The sequence below is a fragment of the Homo sapiens genome, chromosome 1 (genome assembly GCF_000001405.40).
Source record: "Homo sapiens chromosome 1, GRCh38.p14 Primary Assembly".
NCBI lineage: Eukaryota > Metazoa > Chordata > Mammalia > Primates > Hominidae > Homo > Homo sapiens.
In genome coordinates, this window is record NC_000001.11 from 86,718,732 (window position 1) to 86,739,676 (window position 20,945).

At 34.9% G+C, this 20,945-nt stretch overlaps 1 protein-coding gene across 9 annotated transcripts in view; it reads left to right on the forward strand.

Moving 5' to 3' along the window:
- SH3GLB1 (SH3 domain containing GRB2 like, endophilin B1) overlaps positions 1-20,945 on the forward strand; it is a 43,609-nt gene that overhangs the window by 14,156 nt on the left and 8,508 nt on the right. For 2 of the 9 annotated variants that reach the window (XM_006710672.3, XM_006710673.3), the window contains 7 exons: positions 776-904; positions 3,809-3,942; positions 5,582-5,674; positions 9,672-9,758; positions 11,357-11,380; positions 15,871-15,960; positions 16,348-16,448. In XM_006710672.3, the coding sequence (XP_006710735.1) occupies positions 776-904; positions 3,809-3,942; positions 5,582-5,674; positions 9,672-9,758; positions 11,357-11,380; positions 15,871-15,960; positions 16,348-16,448 (658 nt within the window). Of the gene's footprint in view, positions 1-775; positions 905-3,808; positions 3,943-5,581; positions 5,675-9,671; positions 9,759-11,356; positions 11,381-12,503; positions 12,546-15,870; positions 15,961-16,347; positions 16,449-20,945 lie in introns of those variants that run through there. The other 7 variants (NM_016009.5, NM_001206653.2, NM_001206652.2 and 4 more) reach the window with 6 other exon arrangements.

Consider the following 20,945-nt stretch of genomic DNA (forward strand, 5'->3'; position numbering starts at 1 on the left):
AGCATTGTAAATGTTAATATCTTTGGTCTTAAGCATTTTGCTAACCAAGTGTTTATTCAGCTTTTGTTTTTTTCCCCTTTCCATTTATTCTAATGTTCTATTATTGCTTTAACCTTTCGTATTTTAAACTTATTTTTAATGATGAAATCTTTTGAGTGAATGCATGCTCAGAGATATACTTGTATACTTTAAACATAAACTAAAGCCAAGGCATCATATTGCTGATCTGTCTGTAGACTATTCCAAGCCTGGATTGTTCTATGCCTTAAGCGCCTGTGTCTATATTTAGACTCTAGGCAAGAAAAAGAGAGAGCAAATGCTCATGCTAAAGCTGTCAGATGTAAGTCTTTGGTTCTTCCAGGTACTTTATATCTGTATTTTCCTAGCCAGAAATCCTGATTTTGAAATTATGAATGTACATTCAGAGTAAAAATTAGAGTTAAAATGCTACAAACAGGGCAAAGACACCTTCAATAAATATTAAGTGAATTAATCAGTCCTTTTCTGGAACTTAAAATCTTGTAGAATACTCAAATAATAATTTTATTTTATTTTAAAATGCTTTTGTGCCAAGATATTTTATCAAATTTCTAAAATATAATTTTTTAGTTATATAATAGTCTAACATAAAATTTAAAAAATTATTTATTAAGATATGTGCTTGAATGAATGCTAACTTTAGGAGATGATAAATGGCTGCTGATGGGGGAAAAAAACAATCTTCTAATTAGTTTTGCTTTTTAGAAATCATTGGTAATTTTAACCTTTCTCCTAGATGCCAGGATAGAAGAATTTGTTTATGAGAAACTGGATAGAAAAGCTCCAAGTCGTATAAACAACCCAGAACTTTTGGGACAATATATGATTGATGCAGGGACTGAGTTTGGCCCAGGAACAGCTTATGGTAAGTGAAATGCAAAAAGTTCTAATAAGGGATATCTTTATGTTTAGATTTATTAGAGATGTCATTAACATATTAGTAGGCCGGGTGCAGTGGCTCACACCTGTAATCCCAGCACTTTGGGTGGTTGAGGTGGGCGGATCATGAGGTCAGGAGATCGAGACTATCCTGGCTAACATGGTGAAACCCCGTCTCTACTAAAAATAACAAAAAATTAGCTGGGTGTGGTGGCAGACACCTGTAGTCCCAGCTACTTGGGAGGCTGAGGCAGGAGAATGGCGTGAACCTTGGACGTGGAGCTTGCAGTGAGCCAAGATCACACCACTGCACTCCAGCCTGGGCCACAGAACGAGACTCTGTCTCAAAAAAAAAAAAAAAAAAAAAACATAGTAGTAGAATTGGTTTTAACTTCAAATTTATGTTAAAAATTTTTGATGAAGTGAGAAATATAGGCAAATATATACAGTTAAATGTAATATTTAATATATTCAAGCATATATTTAGTTATTCAGAGAATTCACATCTTTTTTAGTTCTAAAAAGTTTAATGAATTCTTCACTTGTTCTCCCAGTGATCTTACAATACCTATGTTATAATACTTGTGATATTGCAATTATTGTTTGCATATGTCTCTTCATTTTTAAAAAAGCTTTCTTAGGGCTTATTTTATGTTAAAGGTACTTGGCACGTAGTTCTTGAACAAATCAGTGCTTTTGTTATAATTTTGCAGTAATGTCAGTAACCAAAAAATATTAACAATTGTTATCTCTGGATATTTGGATTACATTTCATTTCTGTTTTTCTCTTATGTATTTCAAATTTTCTATAGCCGTGGTTTAGTTACACTCGCTTTATTAGTTGCTGTACAGACTTTAAATGTATAGCCCTGAAGCTCAAAGTTACATACACATCTTTATTGTCACTCTAATTTTCTCATAACATGAGACTGTTACAGATTTCAGTAGCTTCTTTTCCTGTTGTTTATGTCTAATAATAATTCTCTTTATACATCTGCAAGATACTGGTCTTTGGATATGAAATGGTAGGTAGATTAAATTAATTTCTACACATAGTTCTGATTTACAGAATGGTTTATAAATTCTAGGATTAAATGAATTTTAAGCTTTAGTAGTTATCTTTATGTCAGAAAGAAATAACCTAAATATTGTTGAATGCCACTAATCCATTGACAGGCTTTTTTAGGTACACAACTTTGAAACTTCTACATTGTGTTCTTCAAAATCTAATTTTTAAGTTTGAAAATGCTTAGAACTTCAAAATAAAATTATTTCTGAATTTTACTGTTAATTTTTAGAAAAATGTTATACATTAAACAGATGTTTTATTGCCTACTTGTGCCAAGCTCAGTTAGATGCTGGGATCATAAAGGTATGTGAAAGGAACCCAGCAGCCCCTTCCTTCACCAGGCTGAAGAAGGTTTTAGCAGAGCATGAACATTAGTAAAGGCTTCTAGATTTTCTTCCCTTTTAAATCTGCTTAATCTGTTTGCACCTCTAGTAATTCTAGTGAATGTACCCTGGTTATTAGAATTGGGCTTTGTGAACCTATTACCTTATTAGTAATTAATACTAAAAATTGAGTATCACAGGCATGGGCTAAGCATTATATAGTATATATATTTACATATTAATTCTCATTTATATCCTGCTTTTAAGATAAATTATATTACCTTCATTTTAAAGACAAGGAAACAGGTTTGGAGAAGTTAAATAATTAATCCACAGTCACAGCTAGTATAGTAATTCAAATGAAGATCTGTCTGTATCCAGTGACGGAGCTCTTAACTACTATCTGTATTACCTTCCTTATCAGTCAGATCAAAGCTTATCCTAACATGAAGGGATTAAGATCCTTAGAGCTAAAGCTTATTAGAAGTAAAACTAGGAGTGGAACCCTGATCTTGGGGCTTCCTTTCTTTCTACTCTACTTTGTACTGTACTTGCCCTATTTAAGTATCAGAGTATATGTATTGCAAAAGCATGGATTTTTTAACTTAAGATATCACTATGAACTATTACTTATAGATACTTCAGATGATAACTGCAAGGATGTAGAAACAGGACAAATTGTGACTTGATCTCTTGGAAGCATTATACTTTTATAAGTATAACCACAGTCACCCCTCGATATCCATGGGGGATTGGATCCAGGCCCGCCACCCTGAGGATACCAAAATCCATGGATACTCAGGTGTCATATAAAATGGCATAGTGTTTGCATATAACCTATGCACATCCTCCCTCGTACTTTAAATCATCTGAATGTAAATGCTGTGTAAATAGTTGTTATGCTGTATTTTTTAGGAAATAATGACAAGGGAGAAAAGTCTGTACATGTTCAGTACAGAGGCAACCATCTTTTTTTTTTTTTTTTTTTTTTAATAGTGACAGGCCCTGCTGTGTTGCCCAGGCTGGCCTTAAACTCCTGGGCTCAAACGATCCTCCTCCCTCAGCTTTGGAGTAGCTGGGACTGCAGACATATGCCACCACTGTGCCTGGCTCCTCAGCCATCCTTTTTTTTTTTTTTCTGAATGTTTTTGATCGTGGTTGGTTGAATCCATGGATGCAGAACCCATAGATACAGAGGGCCGACTGTGACCGTAAATATTTTGGGGTATATTTGCCCTCTTTAGTCCCATTGGTAGAATTGGTACAATTATCTATGCTACAATAGGAAGTTCATCTTTGTCTCCTTCATTTAGACACATACTCTTAAATTTACTTTTAAAATAAAACTACCTTAATTACAGTTAATTCTATTTGGTTTTACTTTAGCAAGCAAGTTACAGCTAACTTTTAAACAGACCAAATTGCTGATTTATCTTTACATGATTTTATTTTCTGGTATTACCAGACAATGATTTTTAAAAACATTTTTCCTTTGCAGGTAATGCCCTTATTAAATGTGGAGAAACCCAAAAAAGAATTGGAACAGCAGACAGAGAACTGATTCAAACGTCAGCCTTAAATTTTCTTACTCCTTTAAGAAACTTTATAGAAGGAGATTACAAAACAATTGCTGTGAGTTGAAAAATGTCCCCTTTATTTAGTAAAATCATTTAGATATATATACTTTTTAATGAATAATTTGGCCTCTTAATGACTGTGTAGATGTAGTGGATTACAAAATTAAATAATCTAGGTCAGTGCATGTTCACCAGAACACAAAATTAAACCAAAATAAAAGACTACTGAACATTTACTCCATTTGTGTGTCCTACAGTGTTATTGAGATGCCTTTATCCCTTTTCATTCATTACCAACGCTAAAATCTATAGAGAGGTTCCTGGAATGATTATGAAAATATGGTCTAAAATATCACCATAGTATATATACCGTGTAGCTCTTCATTTTTTAGGATTTTAACTTATTTTCTTAGTGATAGAGAATGAAAATTTTCTAAGAGTTTTACAAAGCTGCTCTTATAAATACTTCAAACTTTAATTTGCAGATTTCCTATTACAATATATTATAGAAACTTTGAATATGTTCACAATGGATTTGTCTCTGTATAAACAAATATTTGGCCTGAGACAGAAGAACTATCAAGTTAAAGTATGATTTAAAAGATATTAGCAGCCGGGCGTGATGGCTAACGCCTGTAATCCTAGCACTTTGGGAGGTCAAGGTGGGTGGATCACTTGAGGTCAGGAGTTTGAAACCAGCCTGGCCAACATGGTGAAACCCCGTCTCTACTAAAAATACAAAAAAATTAGCTGGGCATGGTGGCAGGTGCCTGTAATTCCAGCTACTTGGGAAGCTGAGGTAGGAGAATTGCTTGAACCCTGGAGGCGGAGGTTGCAGTGAGCCAAGATCGTGCCACTGCACTCCAGCCTGGGGGACAGAGTGAGACTCCATCTCAAAAAAAGTGAAATAAAATAAAATAAAATAAAAATTAGCTTATCAGTGCAATGAAATTTGACATATGGAATCTAAGATTAAAGCAAACTGAATTATAATAAACTTACATACTATACAGAAGCTTGAAATTCCCTGAAGAATTCTAAGATACTATACTAATGTTTATTCATTATTCTGTAAGTTTGAAATTCCATTTTGGAGTGGTTGGGTTGCATTTGGTGCTATGACACATTAAGTGCAGCCCACCCAATCCTTGAGGTAGGACACCAGGCGTCAAGGAACCCTTGCCCCAGGCGTATACTTCCTTCTTTCTAGGCACTTTCTGGATAATCTGTAACAATTTGAAAGTCAGTCTGGCCACTAATGACGTTTTGGGCTGCACAATTCCTTGTAAAGATAGACTGTCTTGTGGAATGTTTGGCAACATTTCTGGCTTCTGGCTAGCAGACTCCAATAACATCCCTCCACCAATTGTGACAACCAAAAAGGTATTGCCAAATGTTCCCGAGGCAGGGACAGGATCATAAAATATTAAAACTGATATTCCTTTGTTTCCATCATTGCCTGCCATCTTTCCCAGACACTTACAATGTTTCAATTATTTATTTTAAAATTTAAAACAGTAACAAGGGGGTGGGGGGGGGCAGATACATGAATGGTAACTTTATAGCCAATTTTGTAGTCATAGATCTTTATCAAGTGATACATATGTTTACTAGGGAATAATACTTTAAATGTGTATGCTCTTAACAGAATTTTAGCATCTTTAGCCCTTATTTTTTCTTTTCTATATTTATAGAAAGAAAGGAAACTATTGCAAAATAAGAGACTGGATTTGGATGCTGCAAAAACGAGACTAAAAAAGGCAAAAGCTGCAGAAACTAGAAATTCAGTAAGTAAATAGAAAAATATTTTTGATTAATAACTTTAAGATTTGTAAAATATTTTGCTAATAAACCATGAAAGATACAGACTATTAACTTTAGAGTCTTGTTTTTGTGCTTTCTAAACAAATTTATCAGAACTTAATACATCCAAATCACTGCAAAGTAGTCATATCAAAAAGGTGATATTCATGGCCAGGCACAGTGGCGCATGCCTGCTATCCCAGCACTTTAGGAGGCTGAGGCAGGCAGATGGCTTGAGCCCAGGAGTTTGAGACCAGCCTGGGCAACATGGCACAGCCCCGTCTCTCTACAGAAAGTACAAAAATGAACGGGCATGGTGGCACCCACCTGTAGTCCCAGCTACTCAGGAGGCTGAGATGGGAGAATCTCTTGAGTGTGGGAGGTGGAGGTTGCAGTGAGCCAAGTTTGCGCCACTGCACTCCAGCCTGGGCAACAGAGCCAGACCCTGTCTTTAAAAAAAAAAAAAAAAAAATATATATATATATATATATAAAATATATAATATATATGTGTGTGTATATATATAAAATATATAATACATATGTGTATATATATAAAATATATATATGTGTGTATATACACACACACACGTGATATTTAGCTATATAGCTGCTGCTAAAAAACAAAAATTATGGTAGCTCCTAATGTGTCATTTTTTTTAAATATCGTCAGTGGTCGCAAATATTTTTGGAGATAGATTTATTATAATTGGAAATAGCAGAAAAGATAGTAATTAAGATGAGACTCAAGTTTGAGAATACTTGTGTGTGACTTAAAAATTAGATCAGTTCCCTTTCCACACACTGCTCAAACTAACTAAAAGAATGTTCACCAAGAATAGTTCCAAAACCATTCAAACCAACAGTGGCAGTATGGACTTTCAGGCAACGATGTTGAATGCGAGGAAACTCATTTGGATAAATAAATTCTAGTATATATTCCAGAAAACCTCAGAATATTGAGTAGGTATATATTAAATATAATTAAATTTTTCTTTAAAGATTTATTTATAAGCTTTTTAGTTAATCCAAGTTATACTGTCTATATTATTCCAGAATTTGAAAATATCAGATTTGAATTGGAATAACTTTAAAATAGTATAAAATAAACCAAGTATGAATTTGTTAGAAGAAGCTAACAAGTTAATACTTAATTTGAGCTATGGTATGATAGTACCCCTGCCTTCTGTTTCCAAGTCACTACCACTGCCAACATCAAGAATCATTGCGTTAATGAGCATATTACCACAGTGCTGGTACTGTCTTATAGTTCTCTTGTTTGGGAGATAAAAAGGTTGAAAATTGGTTTAGAGTGAAATTTAAAACTGATTAACTTGGTATTGGATAGTAATGTCTTACGAGACTACCCTAATACCTTGTATGAGCAGAATAAGTTATTTTTGTCTATGGTTTTTTTCTTTTTTGGAGATACTGTATTAGTTACTGCTAGAGAAGAGCTATCTTTGATAAGACATTAATTCCAAATTTACTGGCATTTTCACTTCACAGTTTATCATTACATCATTATCACAAACAACAAAACTTCCCTAAACAGACTATCTGCAGCATCAGAACTTTGAAAATGAACACTATAGATAGCAGGAGACCTTGAATTCTTTTATTAGTTTCTAGTTGCTAATAATTAATTTGAAAAGTAAATTATAAACTAGTTTTTAAAGATAGAAATTTCATACTCAGGAAAAAAGGATCATTTGGAAATAGATATTTTAACTGGGACAGAATGTCTTTATTCAAGATGCCTATATGTGCCCAGTGATAATTGTGGAATAAAAATACTGTTACCAAGTTTCAGTACAAAACTTTGTTTAAAAAGCACTATTACAGGAATGACCGTCTGCTTTTCTACCTGGAAAAGTTCCAGAAAGCACACACATATAGATTTAACAGTGTACAAAGTCCTTTAATATTTCTAAATTATTTTACCACTGCTATTAAAATATATAGAACCTAAATATAATAGTAGACCAATTTTGAGAGATGTTTCCTTTTTGAGATATCTAGAAAAGATCTTGGCAATTTTTCTCTGCTGCGTATTTTTGAGGATAAAGGTTTTTTTTCTATGGGAATTTATGTTTAAAGTAAAAGATGATACAAATGATTTTATTCAGTTCAGCAATTTTATTTATACACAGCTATTCTAGAACTTACGTATTACATACAGCAAAATTTAACTATAGCCAAATACTATTTTTTTAGTCTAGACAGGAAGTTCGATTTCCTGATTTTAATTGTATTTTTCCCCTAGATAACCAACACATTTTTCTTCAAACTTTATAGCAGTTAAGTCTGAAATACTTTGGGAAGAAAAAGTTCTCTTAGTTTATTATTACATAAAGCCTGGAGGTATTCCTGTATTTGGTGATCCTTTTTTTCCCCCCTGTATTTCTTTGCATTTACTTGAAGAATCACTAGGAGTTTGCTTTTTTTTTCCTTTCTTTGATACATTTCCTGGTTCCTAGTTGGCAACTGAAGTGGTTAATCTGACCTTAGAATTACTTTGACTTCACGTCTTTATAAATTTCCATGGATTGTTTTGCAACTAGTTACTCTGCTAGTAAGGTTTGGGATCTATCCATATTGACACTTTTTAAGTAATTTACTTACTAGTTTCTTGTGACTCTTTTTAAGTTCTGTGTTTACTAAATGCTAATTTTGTGCAAGGTACTGTACTGAGGAGTTCATAGATAAATGATGTAAAATCTCTGCCGCCCTCAGTTCACAATCTGGTACAACAGATCATACTTTTTGATGATTTAGCCCTATCAGTAAAGAATTTCTGCTTGTATCTAATATTGCTGTTTTATCAGTTAGCATATTGAAGAATGGTAAAGCAACATCAAAGGCATTTCTCAAAAATATACCAATTAAGCAGAAAGAAAGCCCACTTTAATGTTTCACAATGAACAAAAATACAGTTTTGAAAAATAGATTGTGTATATGATAAAATATACCAGAGAAGCAAGAACAAAAATAATTACAGGTTGAATATCCCAAATCCAAAAACCTGAAATCTGAAATGCTTTAAAATATGAAGTTCTTTGAGTGCCTTTATGACGCTCAAAAGAAATGCTTATTGGAGCTTTTCACTTTAGGGTTCCTTAGCCAGTAAGTATAATGCAAATATTCCAAAACCAGAAATCTGAAACACTTCTGGTCCCAGGCATTTTGCCTAAGGGATACAAAACTGTAATGCATTTCAATTATAAGGCACCTACATTTACGAATCCAATTTTAGTCTAAATCTAAACTTAAAAATTATTTTACAGTTTTAGTAATGTTAAAGATAAAAATCAGCTGATTTCAAAGCTCTGCAGTATTTAGTGGTTTAGACCTCTGTTAATTTTGGGACATCCAAATTTGATGGAAAATATTTCTTTAACATCATATAGCAAACTTAAGCATTTCCACAGCAGTGTAAATCTTTAATCTGTAAACTCAATAAATTTAGAGCACCATCAGTATAGCCTTTAAGAACACATGTTTGAATTTAAGGTTTACTAGAAATGTAAGGATTGACATGCCTTTAAGACTTCAGAGTATGCCAAGACCTGGCTGAGGCTGATTGAAAGAGAATGTGGTTGAAGGCATCATAAATTCATAAAATAGAAATGATCTTTGAATAGGAAAATTTGGGGTTAGGTAGGACTTTCTTAGTGAAAATTTAATAAAAATTGTAGGTAACTGGCAGTTTTAAAAATGATACATTTTCCCTAAATGATTCTCATTTAAAGTCAAGCATCAACATATTTTGTTTTGAAAATTTGAATTTTGGGGAAAAAAATGAATAGGCACCACTATATGCAGTTTCACAGAACAATAAATGTAGTGGGGGTTTTTTAATAGAAAAAAATATTTGATTGGCTCTTTTACTTGTTTAATGTGTTATTTATTGTGAAGAAGTAATTTGTTTCACTGTGTTCATTGGTATAATGTGTTCTTTGTCTCTTACTATGCACTTAAGCAACTAAACTCAGCTCGCCTTGAAGGAGATAACATTATGGTAAATTTCTCTTACATGCTCAACTTCCTGCATGTAAAATGGCTGAAGGTTTGTTGGCCTACTGTGTTTTCTACATCTTGAATAAAGTGCCTTCTCTTGCTATTAGCCGCTTGTAAAATTTTGAAATAATTGGAACCATGTATTCATTTATCTTTAACAACAAAAATATAAGGAAAAAATACTAGCTGAAGTAATACTGGAACTTTAAAAGAAATTGTATGTTCTGATTGCCAAATATAGTGTTTATGCCAAATACAGATTTTAGAATATGAATTTATACATAAATATATAGTGCCTTTTTGCACTGACTAAAAGGTGCTAATTTAAGCTGGCATTTATATTTTCACTTTTGGCAAAGAAAATTAACAAAATATACTTAAAGAAAGGTGTAAGGTAAACACATTGCCTTTGCTGCTCAGTAGCTTCAAGATTTACCTTATTTTCACCCAAACTCAACATAGAATTAATTTTTTCTGCCATTTCAGGCCAAGACAGACCCCATTAGGTTAGGTACTCCTGTAATGGCCAGGCTTATTTTCCACCCAGTGCTAACTCACTTAAGAAAGTTTTGGTGGAATGGTGATAGCCTTGGGAAAGAATAGAGAATGCAGATTGTTTTATGGTATCCAATGTATATGTTGAGCTTAGTTTGAGAAAATTTTTGAGCTATTAGAAGTTTTTTATTTTAGTAAAATAGAAAGTTGTAAAATCTGAACATAGCCAACAATTTGTGCACATTAACCAATAAAAAGTATATAGTGTGTTTTATTTTATTTCTAGATATATTACTTCATTAGAAGTGTCAAGGGATCTGCAGTACAGCTAATACATTGGCAATTAATTGGCTGCTTTCATTCACTAGCATTAAACCAAAAGCAGGAAAGTAATAGGAAAGATTATTGTACAGAATATATAAAATGCATTTTTGTTTTTGTTTTTTTTTAAATGGTAATTACTGAAGCCCTGGCTGAATTAGGGCTTACCTTAGATAGCAAGAGAATGCATTAATGTGTTTCCATTGTCCTATCTATAGGTAAATGAAAAGCGTGAGGATATTTCAGTCATTGCTAATTTAAAATATAAAGCATAGCTTTTCTTTTTGTCTGAGGTAAAAACATAATTCTAAACAATTAACAGGACTTTGTTTCATTAATCATTTGTGTTTACTATTAATGTAATCTTATAGTAATATATATTTACAGCTGGTCATTTTATATTTATTATATCTCCAGCTTATTGTTTCTCTCCAAAAAGACTGTTTCAGCAGCCATTAATCCTTGCTTTGCTTCATTTCCTAAAATGTTAGAATTTATACCTAAATGAGAAATTTGAAATCATTTAGTCCAAATCTCTAATTTTCCAGATGAGAATACTGGAGCTAAGAAAGGTTAGGTGTTCTCAATTTGGGAAAACTGTAGATTTAACATAAGATTTTAAAATTGATAGCAATGATACATATAAAAGTCATACTTTCACAGTATGTTAAGCTGTACCGATTTAGTTACTACTGTGTTTAATCTATAAATATGATTCTGAAAAAGAGTATGCCATTTAAACAAATATTTATATTTTTCTATACTAAGTTGTAGAAAATAAATTCCAACTTTCATGCTTTATATTTTTCTCTAATTTTTAATGCTGGCTAGATTTGGGCAGAGGAGGTGACAAAAGTAAGTAAATTATTAAATACAGAACTATGAAACAAGAATTTAGTTGACGTTGATTCAGTAAATATGTATTGGGCAACAACCCATGGGTCCAGTCACAGTCTGTGTTAGTATACCTTATAAAATCTGAAAATGAGGGATATGTTCAGGTCTCTTTAGCTAATAGAAGCTCCACCAAGCAGTTGAACAATGCTGCAGAGATGTGGTTTGCACACACACTGATAAATCTTGGATACCTGTTATACTAAGTGGTAATCTTACAGTTCCTTACTATAGAAGGCAGGCGAAATGCTTGTTAATGATTTTTTTAATAACAATTTTTAAAATGTAAAATATAGTTAACACCATGTCCTGTATCTTCAGAGAATGGGATATATAATATTTCGCACAAATGAATTTTTTTTTTTTGAGATGGAGTTTTGCTCTTGTCGCCCAGGCTGGAGTGCAGTGGCACAGTCACAGCTCACTGCAACCTCCACCTTCTGGGTTCAACCGATTCTCCTGCCTCAGCCTCCCAAGTAGCTGGGATTACAGGTGCCCGCCACCACGCCTGGCTAATTTTTTGTATGTTTAGTAGCGGCAGTTTTTTCACCATGTTGGCCAGGCTGGTCTCGAACTCCTGAACTCAGGTGATCAACCCACCTTTGCCTCCCAAAGTGCTGGCATTACAGGCGTGAGCCACCGTACCCGGCCACAGATGAATTTTTTAGGTAACTGAAGCTTGTTCTCTCCAGCACCAAAGCTAATTTTTCCCAGTCACATTAGTTGAAAATATCTGTAAAAATGTATTTTACTGCTGCATTAAATATAGGATAGCAAGTATTTGATTTTACTACAGTTAAGGTCATTATTATGAATATTTATCATACTGTTAACAGTTGGATTTGTTGTTTTTCGACTATGTTGTCTCTTCCCTCAGTATCAGACTGTTGCTTCTAGAAGCTGTCTGTATGACTGCTGCTAGCAGTTCTGTCTGTGTTACCATTTCTAATCTTCTGTGGGCTGGGAAAGCAAGTAATTAAACAAGAATTTAAGGGATAAAATTATAAACTATAGTACATGCAGACTTGTTTCAAATGCTTTTTTAAGTCTTCAGAAGCATTTTTCATTTACTTCTTATGTTTAGGCCTACCAAACTCTGACATCCACATGAGGATAACACTGGGGACTGAGGACAGGTGATGATTTTGGCCCCTGACAATAGCTTTATAAACTTTAACTTTTATTTTCTGGCTTTGTAGGATTGATTTTACAGTCTGTTTTATGCATAGGTTATAGAGCTGTTGATTCTGTGACTTGGATCTCCAGTATGAAATTCTTACCTTATGCTCTTATCCCCCCTTTGTGAGTCTGTTCATCAGTTTAGTTACGGTTCCACACTGGCTTCTGATTTCTCTCTGAACTTCTAGCATGAAAAGGGGCAGAGCAACACAGAAGAGAATACAGGTTGAACAAAAAAACTAGAATGTCTTCCTCTTTGGCATAAAGATATGCCAGAAAATTTCTGACTTGATTTTGCAGTCTCAGCAAGTTTAGGAAATAATTGATACAATACATGGGAAGAAACTCATGAAACATATTATATACATATATATAAAAATCTAAAGAAACCTATCAAAATGGATTTCAGGGGTTTTTTTCTTCTACATATCTCACTTCTGACATTTTTATAATTAAAAATGTATAAATGACCAGGAGCAGTGGCTCACACCTGTAATCCCAGCACTTTGGAAGGCCGAGGTGGGCAGATCACCTGAGGTCAGGAGTTCAAAACCAGCCTGACCAGCATGGTGAAACCCTGTCTCTACTAAAAATACAAAATTAGCCAGGCATGGTGTCCCAGCTACTTGGGAGGCTGAGGCAGGAGAATCCCTTGAATTTGGGAGGTGGAGTTTGCAGTCAGCCAGGATCAGCCGTTGCACTCCAAGCTAGGCAACAAGAGCAAAACTCCATCTCAAAAAATAAATAAATGAAAATGTATAAATGTTAAGACTTTACATTCCTGGAGTATTTTAAGATTTTAAGCCATATGAATAGTAGTCAACACTGATCAAGATAGTCACAGCAAATGCCTCAGAAGCATTACCAAAATTTAGGGCTTACAGATACCCAATCTTGATATCGTGGGCCAACAGATTCTTGCCCATCTTCCAGTTACATTTTAGAAAAAACTCTTCTGGCTTACCTAACCTATGTTATGCTATCATGTAGTCTAGTAGCAGTTACTTTTAGCAGTAGAAGGTCTTCTCCCTAGAGATTTTTTAGACGACAGAATATCAGCCCTTTCTTATCTATCTTTCTAATGTGGATCATTTTCTTCCGAAGTAAATTGATTATGCTAAGCCTAATTTAAATTCCTTTAGCCTCTCAGATCAGTTATTATGATCAATTATATATGCCAGAAGTATAGATGATTTGGGACATTTGACTGTTTGAAGCCACCCAATATGCACTAAAACTTGTTCAAGAAATGAGATGCATTTTTCCCTATCATCTACCCTCTCTAAAGTCTAGATTGTACAGAAGGACCTCCTAAGCTTTGTAACATGGTGCCTTTCTTCATGATTAAATTTTACTCAAACCTAGAAGCCTGATCCCTCATCCTTAATGAGATCATTTGATATTTTTTATTCAGTGTACTTAGCATTAAAATATTATTTCTACTTCAGTCTCAATCTTCCCGGTCACCTTAATCTGCTACCTAGTTTACTTGCTTATTACCTTACCTAGAAATAATGTCAGTTAGTAGGATTTTTCTGCCATTTCTACTAAAGGCCATTAAATTAAACCGTACTTTGACAATCAAAGACCTATATGGAACTAACCTAGTTTATTTCTGAAGTGCATTTATTTTTGGTTTGCTGTATTTACTTCTGTTACTCAAAGCCTTTTGTATTCAACCAAGCAGAACAGTTAATAGTGCATATGTAATATTGATGTGATTGGTTTTCCTTAGTGCTCTCCTTAGGAAGAACATTGCTTCTTTTTTTCTTCTGGGACTTTTTTCTACTTCATACCAGCTTCCAGATGAAGCTTACTTTGTCCCTGCTATCAAAACACCATGGGTTCTGGTTTTAGTCAAGTAAATTTAATTTCAACTTCTGACTTACTAATTCAAGCTTATTTCCGTAAGTCCAAGCTAGAGGTCAATTATTAGTCCCCTCTGCTAGGTTTGTTGCCAGTGGGCTGTTACAGCAACTGATTATCTACTTTGCTGCTACTTCCTTGTAGACTGGTTTACTAGGGTAACTATTGCCACCAAAGGATGAGGAGAGGGAGATGAGGCCTGAAAGAAAAAAGTTCATACCTTGTTGGGTTTTTTTTGTTTTTCGTTTTTTTTACTTTTATTACATCTTGGAAATGTCATGAATCATTTGCATAGGTGGAAAATGCTATTTGTGCTGGAGAGGTAGTCAAACCTATCATTATAATGATGATGTAACCAATGATAATTCCCAATGGGAGAAAAGCTAACTATTCTGAGTAAGCTGTGAGGTTTTATTTCTCTTTCCCACTTATTAACAACCAACTCTGACTAAAGGTTTGAGAAGATGTTTTTTGCCACTATTTGCTATTTTTAGATCTTGTTGATTTTTCAGTGAACTGTTTTGTCGCAGCAGTAAGCCTCCTTTATCAGATGGTTGAAACCAGTAGTGGCATACTGTTATTTACATCTCTTCCCAGCTCCACAGTGTGTGACTTCACGTTAGTAGCTGGAAATCAGCTGTGGTGGGAGTATTTATATCATGAAAATCTGGATATGAGAGCTTTTTTTTTTATTTCTTGGGGAAGAATTTAACAGCACACTACTGATTGAAGTTCGATCATAACTTAAAAAGCTTTTTAAAACCCTAGTGTATCTTAATAGATAGTATTCTGCTTAAGACATTTTTTATGCATAGTTTGAAAAGAAAATTTGAAAGAAAGACATTTAAAATGTAGGACAAAGAATCCTTTGAATGAACCTAAAAACTGGTGCTAGCAACAAGTGTTTGGCAACTAAACGCAAGGTGAAAATCCTATGGCTTCACTCTAAAGTCTTTTGCATTTGAGACTGAAGACTCTTTAACTTCAAAGTAAAAACTGTAGTAATAATTGAGAATTTTTGCAGCAATATTACTTTATACTTGTAAAACTGGTCATCTTAAAATTTTGTAAAATAGTAAAATTTAGCAAAATTGATACTAGAAAATTTATGAAAATATCTTGGCTTTCTCTTAGTAGTTTTTGTAGGCTCTTAAGAGTGTATCATTAAGCTTTAGCGTAACAGATTCTTTTCAATCAAGTACTGGAATCAGTTGTCCAGGTGGAGTAATACAGAAAAGCTAAGGTCTAGAAACCAGGGGACCATTTTAGATACAAAGCAGAATTGCGGAATTGCCAGATTATAACTTGAGGTTTGTTCGGGGGATTTTTTTTAACCATCTAAAATAAATGTATATAAGATGGACTGAGTCTTCTAAAGAGATTCTAAAACTATATTCTTACTTAAGTCTGAACAGGAATTAAGAATAACTCAAAGTGAATTTGATCGTCAAGCAGAGATTACCAGACTTCTGCTAGAGGGAATCAGCAGTACACATGTGAGTATTCATTCATTGGAAATTCATTTGGAACAAGACTTTGGTAGTCCTAAGGCAATTTTGGGAGGAAAAACTGAACTTTTCAGTCATTCATCAAGGAAATTTAAATTGTTCTACTTTCCAATATATCCGAATAAATATTTTAAATTGTTGTTTACATCTTATCACCGAGTTCTCCCACCCTCATTAAATATACATGTTGTTGTTTATTGGCTAAGCAGAGTTTGCTAGTGTACTATTCACGAAGGCCAATCTTAATAAGCCTTGTAGTAAAATGTTAGATACTGGTGAGTCTACCTCAGTACAATATTGTGGTCTGTCTCCCCCTTGCATTTGCCATTTAAGTTGACTATACAGCTAAGAACTAACTATAATTTTCCTTCACAGGCCCATCACCTTCGCTGTCTGAATGACTTTGTAGAAGCCCAGATGACTTACTATGCACAGTGTTACCAGTATATGTTGGACCTCCAGAAACAACTGGGAAGGTGATAATTTACTTTTCACATGTAAAGAGGAGAAATTCAGATTTTTGCTTATGAACTAATACTAAGGATGAAGATTAGAGCAATTAAAGGTTCTTACTAGCTTTCTTAGAAATAGTTTCTTTTTTTTAAGGAAAGTAATTATCAGTTTTCTGAGGTAACAGAATATTTTGAGCTTTTCTGGCACAGAGGCATGTTAACAGGGATGAGAAAAAGTGAATACCTTTTCAGTGCTGTAAGGTTAAAAGTGTTTCAAGTTCACTTTTCTCCTGCTACTGAATACTTTTTGCTATTGGTTGAGGAAGATATAATTAAATTGACAGTTACCCTTAAAGATAAACTAATTTATACTTATTCATTACTCATCTGTTTACTATATTGAAAAAAAGTTTTAGAATATTTCGTAAGACCTCATATCTACCGATGTGATTATTTTGAGTATGTTAATATACTTCAAAGCAAAATGACAGTATGTAAAACACAAAGCTCAATCACTCATTCATCACGTATTTATTGACTATCTGCCATGTGCCAAGCACTGTTACATATTGTGGGGTAATATCAGCAAACAAAACAGGCAAAGATGCTTGCCTTTATGGAGCTCACATTATAAGGTGACACTGAAAATAAAATAATGTTTAGGGCAAACATGGTCTCTGCTCTCACAACACTTAGCCTAGGTAGAAATACAAAGCAAGCCGTTGGTAGACAGGCCATGTGGTAGGCAGAAAAGCAGAAGGTGCCTGGTATTGTGAAGGCATCTAACTGTGACTGAGGTACATCTAGCAGAGTTTCCCAGGTGAAGTTATCTTGGTAGGAATAATCTAGATGAAGAAAGGGACAGGGATGAATATTCTAAGCAAGGAAGAATATGTTTATAAAAAAGCCAGAAGAAAGAGAGTAGGGAAAGTTCGGGGAACTGATAGTAGTCCATTCAGGCTGGAGCATAGTGTTCAAGAATGGAATGGTAGATGAATCTAGAGGAGTTAAGCAGGGTCATACCATGAATGGCTTTTAAAGTAAGTTGTTGTAAGGAGTTTGGAATTTATATATTGAGGAACCATTAAAGCAGGGGAGCGATATGTAGCATTTGAAGGATGAATATCAAAAAATCGTTTCAAGGAATAAGGTAAATAAAGTCACTTTGGTGTTTGTTTCTGCACATTAACACTTCAAAACTTGGCCTAGAATAAAATTGAGCACGTCCATGAAACCAATTTTGAACCTCAAAAATGAATGGTAGCCTAATCATTAGTTATTTTAATAGAATATACAGGAGCATTTACATAACTATATATTTGAGGTTTTATTAGTGGTGTTAATATCTCAAGGCAGAACAGCACTTTATCTTCACATCATTATAACTATTTTAAGCCCAAGAAGCCTTAGTACTTTTTTCCACTTTATCCTGAAACTCTGGAAGTGCGGCATAGGGGTTGCTTATACTCGCATTCTACTTAAAGCCACACTATGCTTAGGACTTGGCCATTTAAACAAAATCCAGTTGTTGCGTTATTACTGCTCTTTGAGATAAGCTCCAGCAATACAAAGTAAAACCAGTGCTACTATTCTAGAAAAGAAAGTCTAGCTTGTCTCTCCACCCTCAATTATATTATTGCTAATGACCAATGACATTGGAGGAAGTTTTATCTCTTTAATTTGTTGCAGGTTATGCTTTTTAAGATAATACATAGAAATATTCAAATATAGAACTTGACAAATCATCCAGCTTCACACTAACACATTCAAAAACTATTTATGAAGAAGAGAACCAGATTGTATTGTTAATAGTTGCAATAACAGTACCAACAGGTAGTAGAAGTAACTGAATAACAGCCATCACTTTGGTTGAGCTTAAGTTGTGCATAGGTGCTCTTCCAGACACCTCATGTGTATTATTAACTTTATAATCCTCACCACCAAATGAGGTAGGTACTATTATTATCCATATTTTAAAGATGAGAAAGCAGAAGTACTAGTCACAAGATTAGCAATTTTTTTAATAATTGGAAGGCTTTTGCATTTCAAGCTCCAGTGGCTTAATTGACATTTTTATAGAATGAGTAATTGCTATGATTTTTTAACGTATCAATAAAAGTTCTTAGAAGGTAAAAATGGCCTTTCAGTTCATTTTTTAAATCTTTAACTCTGCAAAATTGACATAGGTACACTTCAGTGGCTAATCAAAGGCTAAAATCATACTAGTAGATTTGGAAGTAAAATATGGTTAGAGAACTAAAAAAGCCATGTGTATATACATATTCATATAAATAGAGCTTTTTCTTATCTTCAGAAATGTATGTATTTAATCCCTACTGAAGAACCGAGTTCACTGAGGAAAGGATACTAGGACAGGTGGTCTTAATTTTAGAGAGGAAAAGCTATATTTAAAACTATTTCACCCTTTATCCATCAGAGAAACATTTGCTTTTCATTTTTAAAATGTACTGTTCCAGATGTGGGGGATATAGTATATAAATAAAATAATCAAAATTCCTGCCTTCCTGGAATCTACATTCTATATGGGGGCAGAAGGGAGCAGAAAAGCAATATGTATATAAATTATATAGTATATTAGAAGGTGAAAATGGTGTACCGGAAAATATAGCAGGAAACTACTTTGATGGGAGTAGAGAAAGACGTGAGAAAGCACACATGCAGGCATCTGAGAGAAGATGCTCCAGGTAGAGGGTGCAGCAAGTACAAAAACCCTGAGGGCATGACATAGCTGGTATGGTCAAGGAACAGCAAGGAGGGCTTGGCTAGAGACGAGTAGAGGAAACGGGGAGCCAAAACATATAGGGCTTCGACTTTGGTCTTTACTCAGAGATGAGGCGCCTTTGGAAATTTTGAGCTGAAGAGTGACATAATTTTAGGCTTTAACAGAATCATTCTGGCTGCCACGTTGAGGATAGGTGTTGGGTGGAAGCTGACTGATCTGTTTCAAACTTATTGCAATAATGTAGTCAGTAATTCAGTCAGAAGATGGCAGTGGCTTGGATCAGGGTAATTGTGGTAGGTAGGATGGAAGTGGTCAGGTCCTGTGGGCCTGTGGGTGTTGTTTGTTTTTTGTTTGTTTGTTTTGTTTTGTTTTGTTTTGTTTTTTTGAGACAGAGTCTTGCTCTGTTGCCCAGGCTGGAGTGCAGTGGCGCAATCTCGGCTCACTGCAAGCTCCTCCATCTGGGTTTATGCCATTCTCCTGCCTCAGCCACCCGAGTAGCGGGGACTACAGGCACCCACCACCACACCCAGCTAATTTTTTGTATTTTTAGTAGAGACAGGGTTTCACCGTGTTAGCCAGGATGGTCTCGATCTCCTGACCTTGTGATCTGCCCGCCTCGGCCTCCCAAAGTGCTGGGATTACAGGCGTGACTGTGGGTGTATTTTAGACTTAAAGCCAGAAGGATTTGCTTGACAGACTGTATGTATATTGGACACAAAGAGGTCAAGAATTATTGCAAGGTTTTGTTTTGTTTTGTTTTAGAGACAGAGTTTCACTCTTCCAGTCCAAGGTGGAGTACAATGGCGCAACTTCGGCTCACTGCAACCTCTGCCTCCCGGGTTCAAGAGATTCTCCTGCCTCAGCCTCCCAAGTAGCTAGGATTACAGGTGTGCGCCACCATGCCCAGCTAATTTTTTGCATTTTTAGTAGAAAAGGGGTTTCACCATGTTAGCCAGGCTGGTCTTGAACTCCTGGCCTCAGGCTATCTGCCCGCCTCAGCCTCTCAAAGTGCTGGGATTATAGGCGTGAGCCACCACGTCCATCTGCAAGTTTTTGACCTAAGTAACTGAAAGAATGGGGAGTTGTAGATAGTTAAAATGGGGAATGCCAGAGGAGGCAAAGATTTCAGGGATGGAGGTCTGGGAAGTATGTCAGTTATATTAGAAGCCCAGTTTTAAATATGTTAAGTTTGAGATGTCTCTTAAACATTTAAGTGGAGGTATCCAATTTTAGGATATGCAGGTCTGGACTTGGATTGGGGGCAGGGTGAATTAGATAATTAGAGAGTTGTCAGCATATCAAAGATATTTAAATCTGTGAGACTAGATAAACCCTCAAAGGAGTAAGTATAGAGAAAAGGAGAGGATCAAGGACTGATCCCTGAAGTACTCTAGCATAGAGAGTTGAGGAACGAGGCAAGGAAGATGATAACGAGTGAGGCAGTGAGGTAAAATGGAAACTAAGAGTATGGCCTGGAAGTCAAGTGAACATGTGTGAAAGTGGGAGAGAATGGTCACTGCCTAGGTCAAGTGAGAGGACTACGAATTGACCATTGGATTTAGGAACATTAAAGTCATTGCTAACCTTGACGAGTAGTTTTGGTGAAACAGTAGGCGCAAAGTAATGTTTGTAATATAAGAGACTCGGAGGAGAGGAATTGTGACCGTAAGAATACGTAAATCTTTCAAGGGGTTTTGGTGTAAAGGGGAACAGAGGAATGAGGCAGTAGTCGGAGGAGAAAGTGGGGTCTAGCAATTTTTTGCTTGTTTTTTAAGATA